Source organism: Homo sapiens, chromosome 3 (genome assembly GCF_000001405.40).
Source record: "Homo sapiens chromosome 3, GRCh38.p14 Primary Assembly".
NCBI lineage: Eukaryota > Metazoa > Chordata > Mammalia > Primates > Hominidae > Homo > Homo sapiens.
The window spans coordinates 151,805,635-151,829,377 of NC_000003.12; the positions used below are offsets into that span (position 1 = coordinate 151,805,635).

The 23,743-nt window shown below is 39.7% G+C and overlaps 1 protein-coding gene and 1 long non-coding RNA gene across 4 annotated transcripts in view; one reads left to right on the forward strand and one right to left on the reverse strand.

Moving 5' to 3' along the window:
* The window catches only part of AADACL2-AS1 (AADACL2 antisense RNA 1), a 176,997-nt gene that overhangs the window by 54,456 nt on the left and 98,798 nt on the right, over nucleotides 1-23,743 (reverse strand). The gene's annotated exons all lie outside the window — the stretch shown is intronic.
* Nucleotides 8,482-22,854, forward strand: AADAC (arylacetamide deacetylase). Of its 2 annotated transcripts, none has more exons than NM_001086.3 (5): nucleotides 8,482-8,666; nucleotides 11,732-11,954; nucleotides 14,749-14,818; nucleotides 19,029-19,200; nucleotides 21,942-22,854. In NM_001086.3, exons 1-5 carry the CDS (start codon nucleotides 8,529-8,531, stop codon nucleotides 22,536-22,538), a joined length of 1,200 nt encoding a protein of 399 aa, NP_001077.2. In that variant the 5' UTR covers nucleotides 8,482-8,528; the 3' UTR covers nucleotides 22,539-22,854. The 2 variants fall into 2 exon arrangements, with proteins under 2 accessions (NP_001077.2, XP_005247161.1); XM_005247104.5 differs by having other exon boundaries at nucleotides 11,783-11,954.

Sequence of the window (23,743 nt, forward strand, 5' to 3'; positions counted from 1 at the left end):
TACTCTAGGATTCAGCTAGGAAAGATTTACATATGTATAAAAAAAGTTATGACAGTAAATATAGGAAGGTGTCAACATCAGTGAGCTTAGCAATGTAGGAATGTGATTTATTATTATTGTTAGGGTTCACCCAAGTGTACTGTTTCCCCCTCCCATAGACCTAAGCCCCAAAGGCCAAAAGTAAAACCTCCTACCCCAAACCCGCCTGTAACTGTCTGACCAGTTCCCGGATGCAGTCAAGACGTCTACCTTACACAACAGAACTGGCAAGAAAAACATCCCCAGGAAGCGGTCAGACACCTGGCACAAAGGACCCTACAACTCTTTTCTTTTTCCTTCACCTTGACCCAGTTCTACACCCTATAAAACCTTGCTATAGCCTGTAAGCGGGGCTGCCTCCTCTGCTTTTGTCAGGAGGTAGCCCGGCAGGACTGACAATAAATCAGCTTGCCTGAACTTAGGTCTATTGGCCTCATTCCTTTCTCGGCTGTCCTTCCAATTATCCCTTGTATCTTGGTGCCGAAACCCGGCAAGGTGGTAGAGCTCGGCCTCCCTTTCTCCCTCTCTCCTTTCCTCCCCGCTTCCCCCGGCCAAACTCCCCCTTCCAGAACGTGCTGGAGACCCAGAGGATTTCCTACTCCTTTCCATTGCTGGCAGACACATCCAACACCAGGGCCACCTCAGGGGTGAGTAAAGGAGACTTCTGCCTTCTGTCCGGAACCCTTGTCCACTCTTTCCTTCCCAAAAGATGCAGCACTGGGCCAAGAGTTTTCTCCTCCCAGCCTCCAGGCCCTTGGTATCTGCCTTTCACGGATGCTTGAATGGGGAATTATCGCACCTCTCCGACTCAGGGGACGCCTTCTCCTATCATTCTAGTCTCTGGCCACGTCTCTCATCTCCATCTGTTCCTCATTCATTCTATCATGGGAGCCTCTCAGTCCAGTCCCTCAAAGACATCTCCCCTCCGATGTCTCCTCCGGAATCTTAATGCCCTTGGCCTCCATTCCGAAATTCGACCACAAAGGCTCATCTTTCATTGTAACACAGCCTGGCCTCAGTATAAATTGGACAATGGCTCCCAGTGGCCTGAAAATGGCACATTCGATTTTAACATCCTCAGGGACCTAGACAACTTTTGCCATCGCAATGGAAAGTGGTCTGAAATCCCTTATGTTCAGGCCTTTTTTGCCCTCCATAGCTGCCCCTCCCTTTATCGGTCCTGTTTCACTTTCCAAATCCTCCTCGCCCGCTCCAAGCCAGGCTCACCCTCAGCTCCCCTTCCTTCTGGCGATTCCTCCTCCTTTGACCCTGCCGACGTCTCCCCCTGCCCCTCCCAGTCAACATAATAATGCTCCGCCCAATCACCACGACCCTCCGCCCTATGCTCCAGCTCCTGCCCTCCCTCTTCCCCCCCTCTCCAACCACCCAGCTTCTGACTCTGATTCATCCGCATCTCCACCTCATACTCCACCTCATACGCTCTCAAACTCAGCATGCCCAACAACCAGCCCCCATACTTCCCCTCCGAGAGGTGGCTGGAGCCGAAGACATCATTCGAGTCCACGTTCCCTTCTCCCTCTCTGACCTCTCCCAAATTGCAAAACGTCTCGGGTCGTTTTCCTCTGATCCCGACACTTATATCAAAGAATTTAAGTACCTTACCCAATCTTATGAACTCACTTGGCATGATCTCTACATTATCCTCTCTTCTACCCTCCTTCCAGAAAAGAAGGAAAGAGTGTGGCTTGCAGCACAGGCACATGCCAACGATCTTCATCGGCAAGACCCTACTAAGCCCATAGGGGCTGCTGCAGTTCCCCTGGAGGAACCCCCCTGGAAGTACCAACCCACAGACCCTGGCCGGGCATCTCGTAACCATATGATTACTTGCCTCATCGCAGGACTTAACAAAGCAGCCCATAAGGCCGTAAATTTTGAAAAGCTCAAAGAAATCTCCCAAAGAGCCGATGAAAATCCTGCTGAATTTCTTTCTCGTTTTACAGAGGCCCTCCAAAAATATACTCGTGTAGACCCCACCTCCCGGGAAGAAACTATCGTTCTTAATAACCATTTCATCTCTCAGTCTGCTCCTAACATACAGCACAAACTGAAAAAGGCCGAAGATGGCCCTCAAACTCCACAACAAGATCTCCTTAACCTGACTTTCAAAGTCTTCAATAACAGGGAGGAGCAGATTAAATTAGACAAGGCCCAAAGAGATTGTGCTAAATACCAGCTTCTGGCAGTGGCTATCCATCAACCTAGCCATAGTACCCAAGGGCACAAAAAACCCAATGGCAGTAACCCTCCTGGGCCTTGTTTTAAGTGCAGCAAAGAAGGTCACTGGGCGTGGGAATGTCCTAACCCAAGGACACCAAAAACTCCTTGCCCAGCCTGCCAACAGACCAGCCACTGGAAGTCTGATTGTCCTCTTAAAAACCAGGCTAACAGACCAACTCCTCAAAGCCCTGGCAAGGCAGAGAGTGAAAGATCACTCATCCTACCGCAGCTCCTTGGTCTGGCCACTGAAGAATGACAGAGCCCAGGGCCCCCGGTCCCATCTGCCATCACTGCTTTGGAGCCCAGGGTAACTCTGCCAGTAACAGGTAAGCTGATCTCCTTTTTAATTGATACCAGGGCCACCTACTTGGCTTTGCCTGAATTTTCAGGACCCATTCATCCCTCTCAGGTCTCTGTCATGGGGGTTGATGGATTCGTCTCTCATCCACACGCCACTGAGTCCCTTACTTGTTCCTTGTTTAATACTATTTTTTCACACTCCTTCCTTATCATGGCTCATTGTCCCACCCCCATTCTAGGCCGAGACCTTTTAGCTAAATTCAAAGATTCCATCACTTTCTCCTGTGTCTCTCAACCAGAGTCCTTTCTGCTCCTCTCTGCTAGTCCAGCCCCTGACCCTTCTCCCCACTACCCACTTCTCTCCTCTCTCATTAACCCAGTGGTGTGGGATACCACCACCTCTTCTATTGCAGGATCTGGCCAGCAGCCCACAATGCAACAGGGCTCTTTCTTTGTTCCCAGGCGGATTGGCATGTTGAGAAATAATAGACACACACAAGATAGTGAAAGCCAGGTCTAGGGGGGTCACCGCCTTCTGGTCCTGCAGTGCCAACAATGCACTGGATATACCAGCATTTATTATTAAGTTTAGTGAAGGTGGGGGTAGGTTACTGAGGGATTTAGGGGCATTTGATTATGAGATGAGATGGTCACATGGGGATGAAGTAATTCTTTAACATAACATCTGTATGCAGAAGTACAGTATACAGAGATAAGAATTTACAATATAGTGTGTGCATCAGTAATTCTTAACAGAGCCTTAAAACAGAAACATAGCCTTTCCATAACCTATGATTAGCCAGATATTAATCAGCAGTAACAGTTGCAGCAAAAGCTGGTTACAAACAATCCATAGAAACAGGACGTAAAGGTAGACAACCGGTTAGACCAGATATTCTCAGAAGGGAGTATGCCTTAACCCTAAAGAGGCCTAGAAGAGCTGTGGCAAGATGAGGGCAGTTATAGCCCTATCTTACCATATGGACAGGTGCCCCTCATGCATCCGTTTATAGGCTCTCCACAAGGCTCACATTCCATTCCCAGAGCTATGAACATCTGCTTTTCTGGAATAGGATTCTTGGTGATGTGAAACCTCCCTGACTGCAAGTCCGTTCATAGGCTTTCTGCATGGGGAAGCACATCACGCACTATTGGCTCATTCTGGCAGTCCAACCTGGCATTGTCTTTACACAATCCTGAATGCAATTTTGTATTTACAATAATCAGGGGCATTTCGTCTTTTATTCCATAGCAATAGTTTCAGGGGGTCTCCCTACACTCTTCCATAGCTGCACACCATAACCCCATCAAAATCCAGTTAAAGGACCCCTCCAAATTTCCTAACGTTCCCCAATACCCTATCTCCCTAACCCACCAAAAGGTCCTCCAACCCATTATAAACAAGCTGTACTCATGTGATCTTCTTAGACCAACACATTCTCCATATAACACCCCCTTCCTCCCTGTTAGAAAATCTGACAGCTCATACCGACTCGTTCAGGACCTCTGAGCCATCAATCAGGCTGTACTCCCTATTTACCCCTTGGTCCCTAACCCCTGTACACTTCTCTCCCTCATCCCTTCCAACACCACCCACTATACAGCAATCGACCTACAGGATGCTTTCTTCACCATTCCCTTACACTCTAATTCCCAAGACCTCTTCACCTTCACCTGGACAGATCCTGACACTCTTCAGTCACAACTCACATGGACTGTCCTCCCTCAAGGCTTCAGATACAGCCCTCACATCTTTGGACAAGCTCTAGCCCAAGACCACACCACCTTAAACCCCTCCCCCAGCTGCCTCCTCCAATACATTGATGACCTCCTTCTTTGCAGCCCCTCCCTAGAGGACTCCAAACTCACACCATCACCCTACTAAACTCTCTTTCTAGCAAAAGATATAGGGTCTCCCCCTCCAAAGCCCAACTATCTGCCCCAACAGTAACATACTTAGGAGTCCAACTCTCCCCTGGGGCCCAAGCCATGACCCCAGCACAAGCAACCTTAATAAACAGCTTGCCTCTGCCTTCCTCAAAAAATGAAATTCTCTCTTTCTTAAGACTAGAAGGTTTCTTTAGAATATGGATTCCCAACTTTGCCCTCCTGGCTCAACCCCTCTACGAAGCAGCCAAAGGCCCCCTCAATGAACCCCTAAGCCCCATACACAACATACTTCCCAGTTTCTGTAAACTCCAAACTGCTCTCATCACTGCACCTGCCCTGTCCTTACCCGACCTCTCCCAACCCTTTGTTCTCTATACCACCAAAAATCAAGGAATAGCTCTTGGGGTCTTAGGGCAACAAAAGGGAAATCCTCCTTCCTTTGACCCTGTAGCATATCTCTGTAAACAACTAGACAACACTGTCAAAGGGCAGCCAACCTGTCTTAAAGCATCATCAGCAGTGGCCGTTTTGCCTCTGGAAAGCAAAAAACTAACATTTGGCCAAAGCACCACCATTCACAGCCCTCACAACTTACAGGATCTCCTCTCCTCCTGGGCATTAAGCTCCCTCTCTCCTTCCCAAATTCAGTCGCTCTACGCCCTCTTTATCAAAAATCCTGAATTCAGCCTTGCCAAAAGTGCCCCCCTCAACCTGGCATCCCTACTTCCCATATCCTCTTCCCCTCCTACTCATTCTTGCACTGACATTCTGGATCACTTGCAGCCACAATTCCCTAACATCTCCTCCAAGCCTCTCACTAATCCAGATGACCAACTATTTATAGATGACTCCTCTTCCAGAGCCCCCGGCTCTCCCAAAATTGTTGGGTATGCAGTAGTTACCTTAAACCATGTAATTGAGGCTAAACCCCTACCCCCAGAAACCTCCTCCCAGAAAGCAGAACTCAGCTCTCACAAGAGCCCTAACCCTCTCCAAGGACAAACAGGTCAACATATACACAGACTCCAAGTATGCCTACCACATTCTTCATTCTCATGCCGCCATCTGGTAAGAGAAAAAATTCCTTACTGCCAAAGGAACCCTCATTACTAATGGCCCCCTTATTTACCAACTCCTTCAGGCTGCACACCTCCCAACTGAAGCAGGAGTCATACACTGTCGAGGACAGTAAGCAGGTTCAGATGAAATCTCAAGAGGAAATAGGCTGATGAGCACCGAAACAGGCCTCTCTTTCTCCTATCCCTGCCCCCATCCTCCTTGTCACCCCAGCAGTCCAACCCAGATACTCTCCCACCAAAAACTCTTCACTACTACAGCAAGGAGCCTCCCTTCAAGGGGACTGGATAATCAAAAACCAAAAGCTCATTCTTCCCCAAGAGCAAACCAAGGAAATTCCAACATCTCTTCACCAATCCTTCCATATCAGTGGGCGCCCCCTGTACCTACTCCTTCACCCTTATTTCTCCTCCCCCCATCTATTCACCTCACTAAAGGACATAACCTCAAACTGTCATATATGCTCTGTTACTTCCTCCCAAGGGGCCCTCCGCCCTCTCCTCATCCCTACACATCAGCTCAGAGGAACACTCCCAGGGGAGGACTGGCAAGTAGACTTCACCCACATGCCTCCTGTCAAAAAAACTAAATATTTTCTTACTCTCATAGACACTTTTTCAGGTTGGGTAGAAGCATTTCCTACCCCTTCAGAAAAATCTCTCAAATTCTCATAACAAAAATCATCCCTAGATTTGGTCTCCCTTGTTCCATACAATCAGATAATGGGCCTAGCTTCATCTCCCAAATTACCCAACAAGTCTCTCAATCCCTTGGTGTTCAGTGGTGCCTCCATATCCCATACCAGCCCCAGTCATCTGGAAAAGTCCAAAGGGCAAATGGAATTCTCAAAACTCAGTTAACCAAACTCACACTTGAGGTTAAAAAACCTTAGACCTCCATTTTACCCATAGCACTGGCTCATATCAGAGCCAGTCCAAAGGCCCCCTCCTTCCTCAGTCCATTCGACTTAATGTATGGATGCCCTTTCCTCTTACAAAACAGACCCCCTCCTGAGTATCAATTAGAATACCTCCCAACACTCTCCCTCATCCATCATCTCCTCTGCGAACAAGCTGACCAGGCCCCCACAAAACCCCACCAAGGCACCACTGACCAAACACTCCTTCCAGGAGAATATGTCTTCCTAAAAATCAACAAGTCTCATGCCAAAGTGCGAAATCCCTTTCCAAGTCCTTCTCGCTACCTCCACTGCAGCCAAACTTTGAGAACACAAGTCTTGGTACCATCTTTCCAGGTTAAAAAGAGCACCTGCAGCTGACCCATCACCAACTAACCAACCAGCTGTTCCCTGCAAATACTCCAGCACTCTTCTCAGACCAATTCGACTCCGCCTAACGCCCATGCCTGAAGACCCCACTCTTCCCTCATGAACCATAGCAGATAAGTTATCACCCCTTACCATTAAGTATCCAAACCCTTATTAATGGAAATCATCCATTACGCTGCCCTTGCAGGAATCACCCTACTTACTCTACTCTTTGCCATAGGAATATATACTGTCTTGCCTCCTGGGTGGAATTTCAGACAAAAAAAACTCAATATTCGTAACCTCTTGCCTCATAATCCTCCTCATAGCAGGTATAATAGCCACCACCAACAGATAGTGGCCCCTCCTAAATGTCCTGTCTTTGCCCATCCTGGCATTTCACACTCTTCCTTCACTGCATCACAGAAAACCTTTCATGGTCCTACCCAGAACATCCCACCCTCACAGCATTCCTTGATTGGATCACCAATCTTATATTTCAAGGGGATTTACAGGAATTCACTCCAGATGAAGCCGAATTCTTTACCTTTACACTTGCTCTCTGTCTATTTACTCCTTCTTCCCTCCTCCTTCTCGCTACCGCTCCACCTACAGCGCACCATTCCACAGGCACATATGATACTCAGTCAAACTAACCCCTCCCTGGCCAAGGCCTGCTGGTACACCCCTCAGAAACCGTATCAAAAGATGTCTTCCCAGCTCCCCTCAAAGACTGGGTTCTCAGCAATATGACCCTCCACCCCCGCTACCAAAGTTTTGGAGAAGTAAATGCACTCAAAAGTTACAAACTCAATCTTACCACACATACTGCAGAACACAAGGTTATCTTAGGAACACTTACCCCAGACTCAGAACTCAGTCAACCAGCATCCCTATGCATAAAGCGTGAACTTTCCAAAGGAGTGCCCCTAGGCACCCTCTCCTCTAGCTTATGCAACTGTACCCTAACACTCACTCCCCCGACAGGCATCCAAACAATAACAGAAAAAAACCCCACACAAACTCTCAAAATCTCCAACCCCCGTCAGACCCAAGTCACGGGAGAAACATCAGGATTCTGCAATAACTGACACAGGCCCTGCATAGAAATCGCAGGGTGGAACACTTGCCTAAACCCCGTCCCCACTTCCCAATGCATGGAAATCCCACTGCCTAACACACCCTCAAACAAACTACTTATTGACACAAAACGCTTCTTATGGACTCAGCCTGGGTGACAGAGGAAGATTCTGTATCAAAAAATATATATATATACACACACACATATATATGTATATATATGTGTGTGTGTATATATATAATTTGTTTTTTCCATGATAAGCTATTTTAAAACAAAGATTCTGAATTCTGTATGTTTTCTATGGATAATTTTGTTAGAGTTAAAGAATTTGTTCCCGAGTTATTACTCAATACATGCTGTTTATTGGAATACAGATAACAGCATGATCATTGACAAACTTTGCCCTAGTTTCCTATTACTCATTAAACCTTGAAGTTGCACTTAACATGACTGTATCTGGATAACAGATAAAATTTTGGCCTTATTATGCCAACCCTTAAACTAAGTGAGCAACTCTGTTTTCAAAGCTTTTGGGTGGAGCTGAAGCACACTGCTTATTAAAGTACACTATTCAGGCATATCATGTAGGTTTACTTTCTGTGTTTCTAGAGACCAAGAAGCGGGACGTTCACCATGGGAAGAAAATCGCTGTACCTTCTGATTGTGGGGATCCTCATAGCATATTATATTTATACGCCTCTCCCAGATAACGTTGAGGAGCCATGGAGAATGATGTGGATAAACGCACATCTGAAAACTATACAAAATTTGGTAAGTTTGGAATTTTATGAATTCAGATGTGCATACACCACCATTTGACCCAGAGAATTAAGTTTTTCAAGATTCTATTCTTTTGATTTATTGACTTATTCATCTTTTAAAATAACTGCTGTGGCCTTTGACAATGTGTTACTTAGAAATGTTGTTTGTTTTCTGTCTTATGTATTGGAATCATGTTAAAAAAATATCAAGAACAGCAAGCAAGGAGTCATTTGAATAGGTTTTGCTAAAAAGTACTTTGTTTAGGTAGCTTTAATATCACGATAGTGGCTCTCCTTTGAAATTCTTATCTTAGGTATGGTTTGTTCCTTAAATTTTATACTCAAATTAGAGATCATCTGATTATGCAGCACTGTGTTAGTTACAGATTTTTATGCACTTATCTTTGGGATTCAGAATATAGACTAAGGACACGTAAATAAGTTCTCAAGAAAAGATTCAATGGGCAGGCTGGTTGGCACATGCCTAGGGTTAACCACGAGACGGCACAATATGCACAAATGAGAGGGGGAGGGAGACCTGGGTGTCCTGGCAACTGGGCAGCTTGGATGCTGGCAAATTAAAAAGGTGTAGCTCTCTCTGGATCCTTGATGATATTTTACTATTACTTCTTTGGTTATTTTATTATCTTCATTAAAACAAATCTCTTTTCAGAACTTAAACCAGATAAATGTTGTAACTCCTGGATTAATCTTTTATTTTGCATTTATTCAACAATTCAACTGTCTCAAATCCTATTAGGCAAACAAGTAGTCTATCCCCACACAGTTGACATTCTAGTGGTGGAGAAAAAAATAAATTAGAATTAAATGAATAAATGATTTTAGTTCATGAGAAGTACCTTTAAGGAGGTAAGATGGAAGAAAAGAGAGTAATTTGGGCAGAAGGCAAGAGTGGGCTACTGTATGCATGGTGAGAAAAAGCCATTCTGAAGAGGAAACAGCTACTTAGGGACCAGAAGAATGAAAAGAAACCAACCATTCTAAGTGCTAAGAAAAATGTTTTCCAGCAGAGACACCAACAAGTAAAAACACCCCAGCTACAGAATATTGACAAGTCCAAGAAATCATATGAAACATTTGGGTTTAATGGGGAAATTGTTGCAATTAGTTTGGAGAGGTTAGAAGCCATATCATACAGTGCTTTGTGGGCACTGGTAGTAAGTTTTGATTTAATTCTGTATGTGATGCAGAGCTATTAAAGAGCTTTAAGAAAGGGACACATTTTTTTCCCTCATATTTGCTGTCTGTGCTACAATATGTGAGAGGTCTTTGATTTTTTTCTTGGAGTCTTTATATTAATTTTTATTTATTTAAGCAATTATATATATATTCTTCTCTGGTAGCCTTTTAATTAATTAATTCATTCATTTACTTACATTCTGTCCACAATTTATGAAAGTAATGTATTTTCAGAGCTCTCAGTCGATATACCTTTTAAAAGTTGTTTTAATGCCCTTTCTTATTCCTGAATTATCTGCTTGTTTGTTTGCTTGCTTTTTTGTGATCGTTTATGCTCCTGGTTTGTCCCTTTTTTCCTGATTAGTTTTGCTGGCTTCTCTGAAATGTCTGGCAATCTTTGAGTGTTCATACCCTTTATTAAAGGATTATGTTATGAACATTACATCAAGAATCAAACTACTGGATTGAGAATCCTGGTAAATATCATTTACTAGTTGTGTAGGCATGGACGACATATTTAACCTTCCTGGGCTCACTTTCCTCATATCTGACATGGATAAGAAAATGTTATCTTCCTCCCATATAAGCAAGTTGTTAATATTACTGAGATGACTACAATAGAGTGCTCAGAACACTGACTCATTCTACAGTGAAAGGATGGGCTGCAGGCAGGCAAGCTGCCCTCCCTTTTTCTCCCACTCATTCCTTCCCTCCCAACCCTGACTCCCAGCTCCCATGTGCAACCAGCTCCATAGCCACACCTCACTGCACCTCCCTATTTCTAAACTAAACCAGTTCCTCGACCTGCCAGGGTTTTTCCTTTTCTTATTTGGTTAGCAAAAGACTTAGGAAAAGGTATTTATTTCAAGCCTCAGACAAAATTGCTTTTCCAGTTTCTACTCCCAAGTAGCTTTTTGTAATCACCTGCTGTTCGCTCCCAAAGTACTTTGTACAGAGCTCTGTAATAGTATTTACATTGTTTTGTAACCATTTATTTGTCTTTCACACTTAACTCTGAGATTCTTGAGAAGAGCATTTGTCTGGTTCATCTCTGAAACCGTAAAGCTTGGTAGAGAGCCTGACACATTTTAGTGACATAGGAACTAAATTAGTAGCAGGGGTCACAATAAAACTTCATCTTTGCCCTCTGAAAGTTGCTGAAAGTCAACTGACAGGTCTGGTTAATAGAAGAAAAAGGCATATACATTTTTAGCATACATAATAGACTTACAAAATATAAAATCTCAAAGAAATGGCCAGATGGTTGACACTTTTTTTTTACTATCTTGAGGTTACAGAAAGAATGGTGGCTTGGCCAAAAAATGATATGGTGGCAAGACAGGTTATGGGAAGGAGAGAAGAGGAGACATGGTTAGCAAAAGTGGTCTTGTTATATAGATGGATCCTCACAGGTAGCAGCCCTCAGAGAGAACAGATGGTAAAAATTTCTTTCAGACTTTTAAAGGTGTCAGATTCTCAGTTGATTTTTCCTAGATCTGGACAAATGAAGGCTCTCAGAAGCCATCAATGCAGATTTTCTCTACAGATGCAAATCACCTCCACAAAAGAAAAGCTTTCCAGCTAATCTTGTATTTCCAGCCCTTCTGAAAAGCTACCTTGCATTATGTCAAGGAGATATATTTTGGGATGAAATATTTTTATTTCCTTCACAGTGTATTCCCTCTTTTTTAAGAACCACCCTAGGCATAACCTTTGCATTTCTGGTTTCTTTTAAAAGGACCAAGCAGGATTCATGCATGAAAATTTAGTTCATTCCATTTGAGTTTATTAAGGGTTAATGTCTACCTATAAGTCCATAGATCTCTTTGCCATTTGATACTTGAATTTCAGGAGGTTTGTGAATTTCATTTTTAGGCTACATTTGTGGAGCTCCTGGGACTTCACCATTTTATGGATTCCTTTAAGGTTGTCGGGAGCTTTGATGAAGTCCCACCAACCTCAGATGAAAATGTCACTGTGACTGAGACAAAATTCAACAACATTCTTGTTCGGGTATATGTGCCAAAGAGAAAGTCTGAAGCACTAAGAAGGGGGTTGTTTTACATCCATGGTGGAGGCTGGTGCGTGGGAAGTGCTGGTAAGTGAATGCTTTGAAAAATCTCTGTCACTGAGGTAGTTCGCAGACATTTTACTAAGTCTTCAGTAGGTACACATGCCCTTCGGCATGGACATTACTGCCTCTTTTATCTTCTCGTGCTTTGTTCTGGCAAAGTTTTACTTTTCCCTGAAGCTTTATATCACTCTTTTCCACATATGCATTTCCTCATCAACCCAGGTAGAGGTGAGAAGAAACTTTTTTTTTCTATTTATCACAATTACTCTAAGAAAGCCTTGTTATTTCTATCATTCTCCACTTGATATTACAGAACCATTTAATGTTTTCATCCATTTACTCATATTTACTATATGTCTGGTAATATTTTTATATCTTTGAATATATTTTTGAATTGACAAAATTTCCTCACGCCTGTAATCCCAGCACTTTGGGAGGCCAAGGCGGGTGGATAACTTGAGGTCAGGAGTTTGAGACCAGCCTGGCCAACATGGTGAAACCCTGTATCTACTAAAACAATACAAAAATTAGCCGGGTGTGGTGGCGGGCACACATTATCCCAGCTACTCGGGGGGCTGAGGCAGGATAATCACTTGAACCCAGGAGGCGGAGGTCGCAGTGAGCCAAGATTGCACCGTTGCACTCCAGCCTGGGCAACAGAGCAAGACTCTGCCTCAAAAAAAAAAAAAAAGAAAAAAATCCTGTCTTCCTGTATTCTTGGATCTTACATTCTAATGGAGACAATCTTTGATCGATAAATAAGTAAATAATACAGTGTGTTTTAAAGTGATAAATGTAGGAAATAATAGGCCAGAATGTTAGAAGAAAAACCTTAGACAAATTAAATTTAACAGAGTTTAATTGAGCAAAGAACTACTTGTGGATCAGGCACCCTCCTGAACCAGAATAGGTTCAGAGAGTCACCAGCGCTGCCTCCTGGTCGAAGAAGAGTTATAGGTAGAAAAAGGAAAGTGACATTCAGAAAACAGAAGTGAGGCACAGAAATAGGCGGATTGGTTACAGCTCAGCGTTTGCCTTATTTGAAACTGGTTCCACAAGTTGGTTACCTTTGGCTGAAACTCAGTGATTGGGACAAGAGTAGATTACACATCCAATTAAGTTACAACTCACTGTGTATCAAGAAACCTTTAAAATATGCAAAGAGGCAGCTTTAGGCTAAACTTAGTTTATTTGGCAAGAGTAATCAAGATTGGGTGTGAAGGTTGTATATTTCTTGATGTATAGAATTACAGCAGAAAGACAAAAACATTTAGAAGTGGAAGCACTGGGATAAAAGTCCCAATTATGTGAGAAAATCACCTAACCCACCTGAGTCCTAGGGCTCTTGAGATTCATCTGTTTACCTCCAATGAATACAGTATAGATTAACTGGAGGAGTGAAGATTGGACTGGACCTACTAAGTTAAGAACTCTGAACTCTAGAGAGGAAGAATAAATTAGTCCTGAAAAGAAAAGGTTACAGGCTTGAAATTAAGCAAATTTGTCCATTGATGTGGGAAGTTAGAGGAGAAAAAGACAGAAGATTAAAAAAATAGATCTGAATGAGTGCCTCATTTCTGACAGGATGACTGGGAGGGTGAGAACAGATTTCTGGGGAATGCAAACAAAATTGTTGGGTGAAGGAATAAGCAGACAGCAAAGCACTGAGGTGGTCAAAAATGTCAGAAAATGAAAAGAAAGCCGAAGAAGGTGAGAACCTCAAGAAAGAGGAAATAATAGAAGTCCTGCATCGTGTAGAGATGTCAAGTAAGTAGGATGGAAGTATGTCTCTTGGATGTTGAACTTTCTATGTTAATATTGTTGAGGAGAGACTTGCTGACATGATGGGATATTCACAGAGAAACACATTACAGCAAGCAAAAAGTGAGAGGGAAGAAAATAAAATGGTTAGAATAATTGCTGGCCTTAAAAGGACTTAGTTGTGAAATAAATAAGCAAGAAAATTATAGATTGAAATGAGAGTTAAGTAGGAGAATTTTCTTTTATTTTTGTGCAGGAGAAATATAAACAAGTTGGTAGACTGAAATAAATGAAGGCAATAAGTAGAAATATGTTAGCCAAGTAATGGGCTGGGAGTGTTGACTGATAGATACACATCCCAGAGGAAATGAAAGGGAAGAAGATTTAGAGCACTAGTAAAATAATTGGATATAGATAGGAAGGTTGGAAATGGAAAAAAAGAGCATTACGTCTTCCTCTTAGACAAGAGAAAAAGAGGCAAAGAGAGGCCTCAGCTAGATACATTCTTAAAGTAGTAGTACAGATGCAAGCAGTAAGTTCCAGTGTTTGTTTAAGGGGACCTAGTTCTATTCCACTTATATTCAGGTGCCTTTTCTATTGTCCCATGCAGACTTAGGTGATCCTTCTATATTGCAACAATTCTGTCTATATCTCCTTGGCTCACATATCTGACAACGTATTGATCAAGTTAGCGACTTGTCTTTTTATCTTTGTATACCCATCATCTAAAACAGAGCCAAATCAGTACCTCCTTCCAGTATACACAGTTGGGTTAATCTAGAGAATGAGTCTGACACAGAAGGATCAATGGCAAAATGTGCAAGACAAAAGATAAAAGGGAGGAAGAGCATTAGGAGGTTCACTGGGAAACTTGAATTCCACTGAGTCATGAATGGATGGCTTCTTATAAATACAGTGTTAAATTTGTCTCTCGTATTTTAAGGTAAAATAGAACTGCCAGAACGTGAAAGAAGTGCAGCAGGATTTTTGTGAAGGAAACAGCCTTGTCTTCATTTGTCTGTTTTACTAATATGTTGCTTTTATCCTTTTATTTCAGCTCTAAGTGGTTATGACTTGCTGTCAAGATGGACAGCAGACAGACTTGATGCTGTCGTCGTATCAACCAAGTAAGAGCTGTGCTGTTTGGTTTCCTGGCCAGATGTCTGACATGCCAAGATTTTCTCAGCTTTCTTTTTTTTTTTTTTTTTTTGTGATGGAGTCTCACCCTGTCACCCAGGCTGGAGTGCAGTGGCAGGATCTCGGCTCCCTGCAACCTCCTCCTCCCGGGTTCAAGTGATTCTCATACCTCAGCCTCCCGAGTAGCTGGGATTACAGGCACGAGTCACCACACCCGGCTAATTTTTTTATTTTCGGTAGAGATGGGGTTTCACCATGTTGGTCAGGCGTGTCTTAAACTCCTGACCTCAGATGATCCACCCTCCTTGGCTTCCCAAAGTGCTGGGATTACAGGCGTGAGCCACCGCGCTCAGCCGATTCTCTCAGCTTTCTCAGCCAATGCATGATCATGCCAAAAATAAATGTTTCTCAGATGACACTAAGTAGGCAACTGCAAGTGAGTGCTAGGCTTAACCTGATTAGAGTTGAGAAAAAAAAATCTGTATATGTGTGTACACGTGTTATTTTGGCAAAAAGAAACAGCAAAAAGTAAAAATTTTTTTCACATAAATTCAAACTGTATCATTTATGGATATAATTACCTGGACGGTATTTCCTTTCAACCCTTAATTCCCAGTCTTTAAAAATGAGTGCCCTGGAGTCACAGGATCATCTATAAAAGTGCATCATAAATAATTTCCATCTCAGATGGTCACTGTGAAGAGTAAGTGATAACATCCTTGAAACAGAGTCCAGCGTATATAGCACTTGGTGAGCCTAAAATGTAGGCTATATAATTTTAAATATTTAAAATATAGCGTATAGTTTAGGCTCAACAAGTGTTATACACTGCGCTAAGTATATTAAAAATGTATTATCAAATTAAACAAAATAGATGAGTTCATATAAAATTATGTTAGATAAATAATCCACCTATGGAAAGAGCACTTAGGGACAGCAAAATTAGGGGCGGATTGCTGGGTAGACTCATGCCAGAGCAGTATATATTTAAATTGAAATTTCAGAGAGTAAATGAACAGTTAAAAAAATAACATACTCATCACCATTTGTCAAGTTAAATCATTATTATAAAGTTGGGACATAATCTTGATCAATATTTGGTTGTATGTGATCACTCATAAATATAGTGGCTAGAATAATATTTTGTAAAATGCAATTAGAAAATCCAAGCTTATGCTGTTTTGCATTCCAACTTTATACTTAAAGAGAATTTTCTTAAACATGGCAAGTCAAATTATAGTATAAGACCGACATCTGTGTTTAATTCATTGCAATGACTAATAAATCACTAGTACATGAAAGATAAAATATACTTTAAAATATTTATGCAAATATATGCCTTGCCTTCAAATATTCTCATTTTATTTATATTAAAGATGAAGAACTCCAGTATTCAAAGATAGATAATTTTGGTTATATTTAAATTAAAATGGCCAATAAGCATCTTTCATGTACTTGAAAGATAAAATATACTTTAAAATATTTATGCAAATATATGCTTTGCCTTCAAATAATCTCATTTTATTTATATTAAAGATGAAGAACTCCAATATTAAAAGATAGATAATTTTGGTTATATTTAAATTAAAATGACCAATAAGCACATGAAAAGATGCTCAATATCATTAGTCATTAGAGAAATGCAAATCAAAACCACAATGAAATACCACTTCACACCCACTAGGATGGGTATAATATATATATTTAAAAAGATAATAACAAGCGTTAGTGGGGACATGGAAAAATCAGAATCCTCTATACTGCTGGTGGGAATAAACACTTCGGCAGCTCCTTAAAAGTTCAAACAGAGTTACCATATTGACCCAGTATTTCCATTTCTAGGTGTATACACAAGAGAAATGAAAACATGCCCATATAAAAACTTGTATGTTCACAGAAGCAGTATTCATAAACCTTAAAAGTGGAAGCAACCCAATGTTCATTAACTGATAAATGGATGAATAAAATGTGGTATATCTATACAATTGAATATTTGAAATTCAATTGAATATTTAAATAAAATGTGGCATATCTATACACATATTCAGTTGTGTAAATATACCACATTTTATTCATCCATTTATCAGTTAATTATTCATTTGTTAATAAAAGGACCACTACAGTATGGACAAATTTTGAAAATATTATGCTAGATGAAACAAGCCAGTCATAAATGGAAAGTTTTGTGATTCCATTTATATAAAATGTCCAAAATAGGGCAAATGCATAGAGATAGAATGTAGATTAATGGTTGCCTATGATTGGGTTTGGAGGATGGGGAGAAATGAGAAGTGACTACTAATGGGTATAGGATTTCCTTTTGGCATGAGGAAAATCTTCCAAAATTGATTGTGGCAATGGTTGCACAACTCTGAATATATTGAAAATCACTGAATTGCATACTTATAATGTGTTAATTTTATGGGTTATGAATATCTCGGTAAAATGGTTATATTAAAAATTAAGGGCATACTTTTAATGTGTTAATTTTATAGGTTATGAATATCTCAGTAAAATGGTTATATTAAAAATTCAGGCTGGGTGCAGTGGCTCATGCCTGTAATCCCAGCACTTTGGGAGGCCGAGGCAGGTGGATCATGAGATCAGGAGTTTGAGACCAGCCTGGCCAACGTGGTGAAACTCCATCTCTACTAAAAATACAAAAATTAGCCGGGTGTGGTGGTGGGCACCTGTAATCCCAGCTACGCGGGAGGCTGAGGCAGGAGAATTGCTTGAACCTGGGAGTGGGAGGTTGCGGTGAGCCGAGATTGTGCCACTGGACTCCAGCCTGGGCAACAGAACTAGACTCTGTCTCCCCGCAAAAAAAAAAAATTAAGAAATTATGTTCATCAAAAGACATTAATAGAAGTCTTAAAGTTTGTGTGTGTATATATATGTGGGTATAGACATATGTATACTATAAAAGTTTTTAAATACATATATACATTTTCAAATCCAAAATATAAAAACACCTACCAATTAATAGAAGTATAGGCGAAAGACTCAGAAAGACAATTTACAGAAAAGGATATTGAAATCATCAAACAATATATGAAAATGTACTGTATACATCAGGAAAATACAAATTAAGACTATTATAAGATACCTGCATATACTCGAGATTATAGATAAAATGAGAAAGACATAAGATACCAAGTGTTGGTAAGGTTTTGAATCAACAGCACTTCCATAAGCTCTAGTTTGAGAATAACTTGGTAAACTACTTAGCAAAACTCTTTGACATTATTAAGTAAAGCTAAGCATATATGCATACCTCTGTTATTATCAATAGCACAGGTATGTATCAACAGGAACACAGCCATAGGGCCCCAAAAAACATGTACTAGAATATTCATAGCAGCACTGTTTGTGCCCAAGACTGCAAGCAGCCTAAATCCCCATAACATTTTTTTACTTGGAAAAATATTTATTTAGTATTTATTGTTTGTTTAATTATTTATAAGAACATTTAATATGTGATCTACCCTCTTAGTGAATTTTTAAATTTGCATTATTTTTGACTGTAGGTACAATGTTGTACAGCAGATCTGTGGAGCTTATTCAACTTGTTTGACTGAAACTTTATGCCAGCTGATCAGTAACTCCCCATTTCCTCCTCCCCACAGCCCTTGCAACCATCTTTTCACTCTGATTCTATGAATTTGACTATTTTAGACACCTTATATAAGTGGAAACATACAGTATTTGTTCTTCCATGAGTGGCTTATTTCACTTAGCCCATCAACATGTTAATGGGTAAATGATTTGTGGTATATTCAAACAATAGAGTACTATACAGGAAGACAGAAGCAATGTGAATGAGGCTCAAAAACATAATGTTGAACAATTGAAACCAGATACATAGGAGTATATGCTATATGATTTTATTTATTTAAAGGCCAAAACTAGGCAAAATTAATTTATGCTGTTATGTCAAATTAGTGGATACGTCAGGAATTAAAGAGAGTAAACAAAAGGTTTCTGGGATGCGGGCAATGTTATATTTCATGATCTGAGTGCTGGTTATATGGCTGTGTTTAGTTTGAAAATTAAAGAAATTATATACTTATGTGCACCTCCAGCATGTATTAGGTTGGTGCAAAAGTTATTGCGGTTTTGTCATTACTTTTGCACCAATAATATATTACAGTCTAATCAAAACAAACAAAAAAATGTGTAAACTATGTTTTCTCTCTACAGCTACAGATTAGCACCTAAGTATCATTTCCCAATTCAATTTGAAGATGTATATAATGCCTTAAGGTGGTTCTTACGTAAAAAAGTTCTTGCAAAATATGGTGTGAACCCTGAGAGAATCGGTATTTCTGGAGATAGTGCAGGAGGGAATTTAGCTGCAGCAGTGACTCAACAGGTATGTTCATAATTTCTATGCTTTTTAAAAATAGCGTTTCTACGCTGTTTTAAAAACATATTTATAAACATATTGAATGCATGTATTAAAATATGAATGCAAATAGGAGATATTGATTTTTTGAAACTATTAAAGAGAATATTGAGAAGAAATGACTAAAACATTATAATATCAATCCCTGCTTCTGTCATAGATTTTTTTTTCTTCCTTAAGGGAATGTTAATTCTTTGGATAAATCATTCATTTAAAATTATAGCCTGCATGTGGTAGCTCAGCACTGCAATCCCAGCGCTCTGGGAGGCCAAGGCAAAGGGATCACTTGAGACCAGGAGTTTGATAGCAGCTTGGGAAACACAGTGAGACCCTGTCTCTACAAAAAAAAAAAAAGAAAAAAGAAAAATTAGCCTGGCATAATAGTGTAAGTTTGTAGTCCTAGCTACCTAGGAGGCTGAGGAGGCTGAGGCAGAAGGATCTCTTAAGCCCAGGAGTTCAAGGTTACAGTAAGGTGTAATCGTGCCACTGTACTCCAGCCTGGGTGACAGAATAAGGCCCTGTCTCTTAAAAGCATAAAAAATAAAATAATATGTGTCAGTAAAATATTATATTAAGTAGGTGAATGAGATCATGTAATTGTGAGACTAATGACCCTATTACGCTATTAGAGATTCAGACGAATTCATATAATCTTCGATGGTGTATTCCTTTATTACCATAATAATCATCCTATTTTAAGAAAATTATCAACACATTCAAAGATTCCCATGCTACTTACAAAGAAGAAATATGAAGAATTCAAAAGATTTTTGTATGTAGATGTAAAATCAGATCTTTTTATCTGTCATTTAATAATGGCAATATAATAATAATAATAATAACAAATGGCATTTTTGTCCCAGATTATATGTAGAATAGATTTTGTTTTTATGATGAAGGAGAAACACTGCTATTGATTGTTTAAACATCTAAACTCTTTTCTCATGTAGTAGTCGCAAAGGAACTATTTTCCCATGGAGTAGCAGTCAGGAGAAGAAGCTACCTAAGATCTTCTCTCTAATGTTAATTCTTTGGATAAATCATTCATTTAAAATTATAGGCTGCATCTGGTAGCTCAGAACTGCAATCCCAGCACTCTGGGATTATGTAGAAGTTAAGTAGAACATATGTAGAAGGTTAGATTTTTATTAGTTGACTTTAGTTACAAACGAGGGTTCTACAGCAATTTTAAAACATTGCTGTTATTTGTTTTGTTAATTATATTTATTTATAATTTTTCACACTAAAAGCATTTTGACTGCTAGAATCTGTTGGACAATATTCTCAAAAGTAAAGAATCATAGTTGCACTTTGTTTCAACCACAATATAGAACAAGTATTTGAAACTTCACAGATAGATTTCTAATCATTATTATGGATTTCATAATGTAGCAGCAAAAGCATTAGACTGGACATCAGGAAACTTGGAGATGCAGTAATTTCTAGATTTGATATTGGCTTAATCTCCCTAAATAAACATTCATTTCCTCACCTGTAAGAAAAATGAACTCTTTCAACTTTAAAGAGTTGTTTGAGAGTCATATGAATAAATTTATATAAAAATACCTGGCAACTTGTAACAATCTTTACAAATAGGCTCCACAATGGTCTATTTTGATAATTATAGTTAAAATGTGGATAAATACTACAATTTGCAAAATATTTGGGGTTACATCTAATAATATCTGTACTTTTATTTAGAAGTTCTATACATCTTTTATAGTATATTACACACTTCAAAAACACAAAATTATTTTTTAACCTATATGTTTTCACAATTTAAAACATATTTTGTAATATTTCATTCTTATAAGTCTCCTTTTTTCCTCCCTGGTATTGGTATATCCCTCTTTACAGACCACTGATTATTACAAATATTAGCACAACAGACTTGATATAAAAGATGATGTTAATAGACCATTTCACACAGAAGTCTTGCCCAAATCTCCTAAAGTAACATGTCGCTTTAGCATCAAAGCCATGTCAGAAACCTCTATTAAGTGATCCTTCTTCTTCATGGCAAAGCTTATTGATATACTGGTATATTTTAATAATATATTTTTTTGAGACAGTGTGTCACTCTGTCTCCCAGGCTGGAGTGCAGTGGTGTTTTCTCAGCTCACTGCAACCTCCACCTCATGGGTTCAAGCAATTCTTGTGTCTTAGCCTCCTGAGTAGCTTCAATGACAGGTGTGCGTTACCATACCTGGCTAATTTTTGTATTTTTAGTCAAGACGGGTTTTTGCCATGTTAGCCAGCTGGTCTCAAACTCCTGACCTCAAGCAATCCACACTTCAGCCTTGCAAAGTTCTGGGATTACAGGAATGAGCCACCATACCAGGCCTATTTTAATAAACTCTTACATGAACAGAAGATAATATTTATGCAATTCTTCTGGTTATCATTCCTAGCAGAAAGGAGATTAACTTTCTAATGATCACTTAGATCTTTTTGCATTATCCATAAAGCATATATGACAGATGATTTTCCTTAAGTTGAAAATATTGATGAACATCTAGTTCTAGAAACCCATTTTGAATGTTAGAAAGTTTGCTGTGGTGGTATGTTTCATTTATTACTTAAGTCTTTTTGAGATCATGAATAGATAGATAGATAAAAACAAGATAGATAGACAGATAGATAATCTTATTAGGGATATTTTATTGTTTTAAATGAAAATGATTTGTGCAAATCATCTTGCTTCTCAGCTCCTTGATGACCCAGATGTCAAGATCAAACTCAAGATCCAGTCTTTAATTTATCCTGCCCTTCAGCCTCTTGATGTAGATTTACCGTCATATCAAGAAAATTCAAATTTTCTATTTCTATCCAAATCACTCATGGTCAGATTCTGGAGTGAATATTTTACCACTGATAGATCACTTGAAAAAGCCATGCTTTCCAGACAACATGTACCTGTGGAATCAAGTCATCTCTTCAAATTTGTTAATTGGAGTTCCCTGCTCCCTGAGAGGTTTATAAAAGGACATGTTTATAACAATCCAAATTATGGCAGTTCTGAGCTGGCTAAAAAATATCCAGGGTTCCTAGATGTGAGGGCAGCCCCTTTGTTGGCTGATGACAACAAATTACGTGGCTTACCCCTGACCTATGTCATCACCTGTCAATATGATCTCTTAAGAGATGATGGACTCATGTATGTCACCCGACTTCGCAACACTGGGGTTCAGGTGACTCATAACCATGTTGAGGATGGATTCCATGGAGCATTTTCATTTCTGGGACTTAAAATTAGTCACAGACTTATAAATCAGTATATTGAGTGGCTAAAGGAAAATCTATAGTAAAACATGTAGCTATAACATATTTTAAAAATAAAATCTGAAAACCTCAGAAAATTTGCATTAGAAATTGGTCTTTCTTAGAATGGTCTAGTTAAGTTCCACATGTAGCATAATTCTTAAATAGGCACTTTTCTGTTTTTTTTTTCTTACTGTGGGATTTCATTTCAATTTTCTACATTGTCTATCTGCTTTTTCTGAGATTTTCCTTCTTACACTGTTAATCTTATTTTAAAAAATATTACATTCTTGTATACTTTATTTTTGTGAGTTGGCTACTATTTACGATGCAAGAGAATAAATGTGAGCAAATATTGCCTGTCTGAGTAATGTCAAGATTTTATTCAATGTTCATTTATAACGTGAAACATCCCTAATCACAGATATGAATTAAGTGCCAATTCTTTTCAAAAGCAGTTGCCTCAGTGAAATGTCAATTTATTACCACTGTAAATTTCTTTATGAAACACTTTTAGAATTCAGATACCAAGTGTTAAACTAACCAATGCTAAAAAAAAAAAAAAATCACTGTGGTACTTTGGGGAATTAGCTGCTTTTTATTTGAGGAAAGGTAGAGAAACTGAAGTTTAGTAAAGACAGAAGAAATATTTGGGATGAACACTGACCTAACAGCCAAAGACTACAGATGTGGAAGTCACTGACCAATGATAGAAAAATCAGAGAAAATTTTAATCTCTGAAAAGCCCATCCCAATATTGCAGGGAGAAAAATAAAATGGAATATCTTTAAGGCTGAGCAGAATTACTTGTATTAACTATGAACTATGTAGTGTATTCTAATTATAAAGAAGCCCAACTACAGGCAGTCTTCAGATGGCGCAGAAGCTCCACACCGTTATCAGGGACTAAAGCTTTTTCTATCTTTGTACTCACTGATATGGTTTGACTGTGTCCCCACCCCAATCTCATCTTGAATTGTAACTCCCACAATTCCCATGTGTCATGGGAGGAACCCAGTGGGAGGTAATTGAATTATGGGGGTGACTCTTTCCCATGCTGTTCTCATGATAGTGAATAAGTCTCACAAGAGCTAACGGTTTTAAAAATGAGAGTTTCCCTGCACAAGCTCTCTGTCTCTTTGCCTGCCGCTATCTATGCAAGACATAACCTGCTCCTCCTTGCCTTCCACCATGATTGTGAGGCCTCCCTAGCCATGTGGAACTGTAAGTCCATTAAACCCCTTTTGCT

Excerpts from the sequence above, each read along its gene's own strand:
- AADAC (NM_001086.3), top strand. The coding sequence starts at position 8,529 with ATGGGAAGAAAATCGCTGTACCTTCTGATTGTGGGGATCCTCATAGCA. Across the intron at positions 8,667-11,731 it reads TGAAAACTATACAAAATTTG|GCTACATTTGTGGAGCTCCT; the intron begins GTAAGTTTGGAA and ends TTTCATTTTTAG. Across the intron at positions 11,955-14,748 it reads CTGGTGCGTGGGAAGTGCTG|CTCTAAGTGGTTATGACTTG; the intron begins GTAAGTGAATGC and ends CTTTTATTTCAG.